This window comes from Homo sapiens, chromosome 15, assembly GCF_000001405.40.
Source record: "Homo sapiens chromosome 15, GRCh38.p14 Primary Assembly".
NCBI classification, from domain to species: domain Eukaryota; kingdom Metazoa; phylum Chordata; class Mammalia; order Primates; family Hominidae; genus Homo; species Homo sapiens.
In genome coordinates this window covers 67,815,429-67,822,187 of record NC_000015.10, presented here as the reverse complement: position 1 = coordinate 67,822,187, position 6,759 = coordinate 67,815,429, and the positions used below count along the sequence as shown (strand labels likewise).

General features: G+C 51.2%; 1 annotated feature.

The window, feature by feature from the left end:
- Positions 1,732-2,330: an enhancer, noted in NCBI's record as "H3K4me1 hESC enhancer chr15:68112196-68112794 (GRCh37/hg19 assembly coordinates)". NCBI's record gives its function as "activates a minimal SCP1, AML or CMV promoter by ChIP-STARR-seq in naive H9 embryonic stem cells {active_cell/tissue: H9 hESC(naive)}" and the evidence as "EXISTENCE:reporter gene assay evidence [ECO:0000049][PMID:30033119]".

Genomic DNA, 6,759 nt, shown 5'->3' with positions numbered 1-6,759 from the left:
GCGGCCACGGCGACTACCGGCGGTGGCAGCAGCGACGAACGCAGCCTGTCCTTGGAACCCGGGAGGCGCCATAAATCTTCCGCGGGTAGCAGCGCGGGGTCGCCTTCTCCCCTCTCGCCTCGTTTTTCCCTCGGGCTACCGGGTATGGTCCCCTTTCCCTCCTGCGTTCCAACTCCTCTGGGGCGTGTCTCCCCTTTTCCTCCACTTCTCCCCTCTCTTCCTTTCCCTCCTGGCTCGCAGAGACCCTGGGAAGGGACTCTGGAAGCGCGAACCGATAGCTCAGGCCTGGTGAAGGGACTGAGGAGAGGGCAGGCCCAGCCCACAGACTCCTTTGCCTTCTTCCCGGCTACCCTGGCTGACGTAGGTTACCGTTCTCCTAGGCCCCGAAAACCTCTCCCAAGTTTGTGGGCTCTGTCTCCTCTGAGGGTCTCTTTTAGATCGCGTTCTTGCCCTCTTCCCCCTCCTCGGTTCCGGTCTTTCTGTCTCGGATCTCCCTGCCTTTCCCTTTTCTCCCAGGGGAGTCCTGGAACCCGCTCGGCCCCTTTCTTTCTGCCTCTGGCCCCTCCATTCGGGTGTCTTTCCCAGGCTGTGCCTCTGTCCCGCTCCAACTATCCCGCTGTCTTTCCTCCCACACCTTCCCCGGGGAGAACACAGGAACCTATTTTCCTTCCCAGTCCGAGAGCTGCCCCCAAGTCCCCGCCAGCTCATTCCCTCTCCCTCGGCCCAGGCTCCCCCACCCCATAATTACAATCTCGTTCGGTAATTATTCTTAGCCTCCTAATGATTTTTTAAAAGGCATCTCAGAATTCGGCCTGGTGGTGACAACGATCCTGGAGCCAGGACGCCCCCAGGGTGCCGGGGGGTGGGAGGAAAGAGAGGATGGGCTGGGTCCCCCTGAGCAGGACCTGCCTGTCCTGCCTCTGTTGTACAGCGAGGGCCAAAGACGCCTCCGTTTCCAGCAGCCCGGCCGCGGGGGGCCCCCAGGACCTCTTAGACAAAGGGTACCGCCCCGCACCAGGGGGTGTGCAGCGTCGACTCTGCGTCCCCGTTCAGCACCAAGCTACGGACAGCTCCCCGCGCTCTGGCCAGTGCCAGGAGACCCACCCAGCTCCTGTCCCTGGTCTGAGCTGGAGAAAGGCGCGTGGACAGAGGCTGGGGAAGCCCCGCTGCTCAGGGCTGGGCACCGGGGAGCAGGTCGTGGGGGTAGGAGCTGGGGCTCTACTATGGGCCGGCGTCCGGCGGGTTAATATCACCGCGGACCGCACTTTACCGATTGCAGAGCCGATTCTCAACAAGGGCCCTGGGAATAGATAGGAACCACTTATTCCCATTTTACAGGCAGGAAACTGAGGATCCGGCAGTGGAAGCCAACCCCTGCCCTTCTCCCTAGCCAAGGCCCTCAGCCCACAAGGGACGCAAGCTGATCTCCTAGACTCAAAAAGTGGTGCTTGGCACGCTGCAGAGAGAGCCTAGCTTGAAGAAGGGACGGTAAGGAGGGCGCAGTGCTGCGTTTCAGTATCGCCCTCATTAGACGATGTAGAGGAGGAAGGCCTGGCACAGCCAGGGCACTTGCTCAGGTTCAGGCAGGCAGTGAGTGGCAGAGCTGGGACCGCAACCCAGGCTCCGAAGGGATGGGCGGGACTCCTCTTCCTCAGTGGGGGCTCTGGGTCCTGAGGCCCTGTCCAGAGCGGGCAGGCGTCGCTGCCCTTGGCCTTCCTGACCCCCATTATTGAAGATTCTCTCTCTTTTATCCGCTTCCCGGTGGCACCAGGGGTCGGAAAGCCGGACTCTGGATGCGAGCTGCGCCTTGCGCGCTTCTCCTCCCACTGGCCGAGCCCGCGCTGCCTCCGTGCCCCGGGTTTGGCGTCCATTTGGGCTCCGGCTTGGGCTGAGGCTGCGCGGACGCGCCTCCTCCGCAAGCACATATCTTTTACTAGTTGAATTAACGGCAGTTTTCGTCAGTTAATTAGGTTTAATTTACATAATTAGTACAGTATAAAGAGGATTGGGGATAATCACGGGGTACGTAGCGCTTACTGTGTAAACACGTATTCTGAATTAAAAATCAGATGTAATTAAGGCGCGCAGGCCCTGTTTAGGCAGGGTTTTAATTGTAATGAATTTCTAATTAACACTCAATGATTGCCAAATGCAAAGGGCTGTAAAATTTTCTTGTAGTTTTGCTAATTTAGTGTTTACTTAATATCTGGATATTAATCCAACGGCCACATAGGGCAGAGCCCGGCGCGGCGGCGGCCCTGGCCCAAGGAAGTGAAGGAGGCTGGGCGGGGCCTGCCGGGCCCCAACCCGAGACCAAAAGTGAGGAGAAGGCGGGGGCCTTGGAGCCGGTGAGAAGGTGCTCAGAGCTCCGGGCCCACCTCACTCCTGTTGCGGACCAGAGACTGAGGCTGGAGAGGGTCCGGATTTGGTGGGAGGCCGTACCCTCTGGGTTTCCGCTGCCTGGACCAGGCTCTTTGGGATCATAGGTGAGACCAGCGCTCCTCACGGCAGGGGACTCCCTGTTCTCGGGAACATCAAAAGGAGGGAGAACAATTGCGGTCCTGGTGGGCCCAGACCCGGTTCCGCTGCTGACTCCAGGAAGGGCCATGGACTTTGCCTGGGCCTGCATATCTGCATCTGTAGGATGGGCACATGGACCCCCACTTTGCAGGAGTGAAGGCGAGTGAAGGATTGATCCAGAGTCCAGGGGCTCATGAACACCTCTCTTCTAGAGTCCTGAAGATGGGTAGAGCTTGGTGGCCCTACTTAGGTTAGGACGCTTAAGCTTCTGGGGAGAGGGAGAGCCAGGAGGCCTTGGGAATGGTTTGAAGGTCTTGGGGCCGGGCTCTGCCCTCCTGAGGCTCTCTTGCACCTGGGGATGCAAGTTAGGCTGGCAGACACTAAGGAGGGAACCCTGGACCAGCCTTCTTTGCTCCAACCAGACAGAGAAGCCTCCCAGGCCTGAGCAGAGGTATTAGGAAAAGAAGAGCTGGGGCAACATAGATCCCATCTCTACCAAAAAAAAAAAATTATATATATATATATATATATATATATATATATATATATATAGAGAGAGAGAGAGAGAGAGAGAGAGAGAGAGAGAGAGAGAAAGAGAGAGTGAGCTGGGGCATGGTGGTGCTCAGCTGTGGCCCCAGCTACTTGGGAGACTGAGGCAGGAGGATCACTTGAGCCCAGGAGAGGGAGGCTGCAGTGAGCTATGATTGCACCACTGCACTCCAGCCTAGGCAAGAGAAGGAGACCCTGCCTGCCTGTAGAAAAAAAATCTTTTAAAGTAAAAGAGGGTGGCTGAGCATCTCCAGCTGGCCCCAGGTTTTCCCATGAGTATCCTTCTCTCCCGAATCTCAAGCTTGGGTCCCTGCCTGCATCCTGGCTGGTCCCAGGGGTGAGGGGCTCCCCTCCTATCAGCTTCAGCTTAGCCACAGCCTCTTTCCAAGGTTCTCTCAGCATGGGGGAGACTGTGTGGACACTTAGAAGTTTCCAATGAACCCATGGAAACACAGTGAGAAAACTCAGTGTCACCGGAGGCTTCCACCCCACAGAGCAGGCTGCCTTACCTCCCTCCCTGCATACACCCCTCCTGAGCCTCCTCTAAGCTTGCCTTCATGCCAGCCCTCATCCCCCTCTGTCCATGGCTGTTTTATTTTCATCACTGGATTGTTCATGGGTTAATATTTCCCGGTCACTTTTTTGTGTTTCTGTCTCTCCCACGGGAATGTTGTGTCTGCAGTTGCATACCCAGGGCCTGGCACTTAGTAGGTACTCAGCATGTTTGGCAAATGAAATGAGCATTTGAGAATGAGGGTTGTGAGCCCCAGACCAGGTCCCACTTGACTTGCTGGCCACAGTTATTGGTCCTGTTGGGGTCTAGTGGCCAATGTGGTTCTTCAAGAGAAGGTTCTCTGCTCCCCAGTGATGTTTAGGTCTTGGGATTCCCACTCTCCACACAGACTCAAAGTCATCCAGGCAGAGACCTCCAAAACACTTGTTCTTGGGAGGTGGGGAGCTGCTGGCAGGCTTGCCAAGCTTTCCCTGGTTGCAAGGGGATTCCCCAGGGGTTCCTCCATCAGCATCATGGAGAAAGGGCTGGAAAGAAAATAGGCTGTGGAGCCAGCAAGACTTGCACTGTTTGAGTCTCCAAACCCACAACTGTAACGTATTCATATGGGCTTCACAGGGACACGGGGATGTCATAATTTTTATTTTTATTTTTTGAAATGGAATCTCACTCACTCTGTCACCCAGGCTGGAGTGCAGTGGTATGATCCTGGCTCACTGCAACCTCTGTCTCCTGTGTTCAAGCAATTTTCCTGTCTCAAGCCTTCCAAGTAGCTGGGATTACAGGAGCCCTCCACCATGCTGAGCTGATTTTTGTATTTTTAGTAGAGATGGAGTTTCACTATGTTGGCCAGGCTGTTCTCGAACTCCTGGCCTCAAGCAATCCGCCCAACTTGGCCTCTCAAAGTGCTGGGATTACAGGCATGAGCCATGGCGCCTGGCCTCATGTCACAATGATGAACTAAGGTGCTGGGAATATGGAACACAGCCAGGGCTGGAACTAGAGTAAGGTATCTTGGGTGAAAAACTTAAGAAGTCATTCAGTCTCGGGGGTCCCGTAAGTCCTCCCTCTAGTCCCAGCCCTGCACAAATCACATGGCAGAGTAGGCACTCAGCACATGTGAGCTGCTCCTTCCCTGACAGCCTCCAATCACTTCAAGATGGCTGCCTAAACATTGGTGGAGTCTGGTCTTCTTGCTGGGACAGTTTGAGGCATTTCTGAGGCCAGGTTCTGGGGTGTGGGAAAACCATAGGATGCCACATCAGTCAGAGGAAGGACTTGAATTCTGGGCATGTCACACAATTCCCCACAGTCTCCCCGACTCCACCGACCCCAAGGGAACCTGAGTTGAGATATCATGCACATACCATATACTCCATCCACTTATGGTCTACAACTCAATGATTTTCTTTTGTAATTCACAGAGTTGTGCAACCATCACCCCATCAATGCTCGAATATTTCCAGCACTCCAAAGAGAAACTCTGTACTTATTAGTTATCACCCCTCATTTCCCTACTTCCCTCCAGCCCTAGGCAGCTACCAGTCTACTTTCTGTTCTACAGATTTGCTTCCTGTGGACATTTCTTATAAATGGAATAATATAATATTGGTCTTTTGTGACTGGCTTCTTTCACTTGGTGTAATGTTTTCAGGGTTCACCCATGTTGTAGCATGTATTGGTACTTCATTCCTTTTTATTGCCAAATACTATTCCATCATATGGATATACCACGTTGTTTATCCATTCATCCATCAATAGATATTTGGGTTCTTCCCTCTTTTTGGCGATTATGAATGATGCTGCTATAAGCATTCATGCACAAATTTTTGTGTGGTCGCATATTTTAATTTCTCTTGGGTATATACTGAAGTGTGGAATTGCTGGGTGATACCACAACTCTATAGTTAACCTTGTAAAGAAATGCCAGATTACTTTTCTAAAGAATAGCACCATTTTACATTCACATCAGCAATGGATGAGGGTTCTGATCTTTCCACATTCTCAAAAACACTTGTTATTATTTGTCTTTCTTATTATAGCCATCCTGGTGGGTATGAAATAGTACTTTATTGTGGTTTTGATTTGTATTTCCCTGATAAAATGATGTTAAACATCTTTTATGTGCTTATTAGTCATTCGCTGAGAAATGTCTATTAATATCATTTCCCTATTTTTTCAACTGGGTTATTTGTAATTTTATTATTGAGTTGTAAGCGTTCTTTATATATTCTAGTATAAGTCCCTTATCAGATGCATGATTTGAAAGTAACTTCTCCCATTCTAGGAGTTGTCTTTTTACTCATAGTATTTTCTTAGTGATGTCCTTTGAAGCACACACATTTTTAAGTTTCATGGCATCCAATTTATTGTGTTTCTTTTTTGGCTGCTTGTGCTTTGGCTTCATATCTAAGAAGGCTGTGCTGTGAGAGTTACTTCTATATTTTCCTCTAAGAATTTTTATAGTTTTAGCTCTTTACTTTTAGTCTATGATTAACACATCTATTTGGAGCTAACATTTGTGTATGATGTGAGGTAGGGATCCAAATTCATTCTTTTGCATGTGGACATCCAGTTGCCTTAGCACTATTTGCTGAAAGATTATTCTCTCTCCTTTAAATTGTCTTGACCCCTTGCTGGTTTTTCTGGTCTGGAGAAATGAGTATCCTCCCTCCCCCAGGAGTGATGGTACCAGCTTTGCTGGGATTTTTAGTGAACAAGCAGACGGCCCCCACTGGGGCAGGGAGACTCCCCAGGACTTCTCTGAAACCTCAGCAAGGCCCAGCATAGGTGCTAGAGACACCATGAATTCATCAAATACTTACTCAGTACCTCTTGTGTGTCAGGAGCTGAGGACACAGTAGGGGATTAAGGCAAGCTAGTTCCTGCTCTCTAGAGTTTACACTCCAGCAGGGAGATGGACAAGAAAGATTACTATAATTCCAAATGGTGACAATTGCTGTGAAAAAGAAATAAAGCAGGGTATAGGGTTGGAGAGGGACAGGATTAGGGCTGGGGGTGGCAGTGGTGTAGGAGGAGGCCACTTTTCTATTTCTATTGACACCAGCTAAGGAACTTGGGTCCCCACTGTGCACCAGACACTGTGCTGCACTCTTGGCATCTCTCATCTCATTTTGTTTTCCTAAGAATCTTATGATGCCAACATACCCATTTCACAG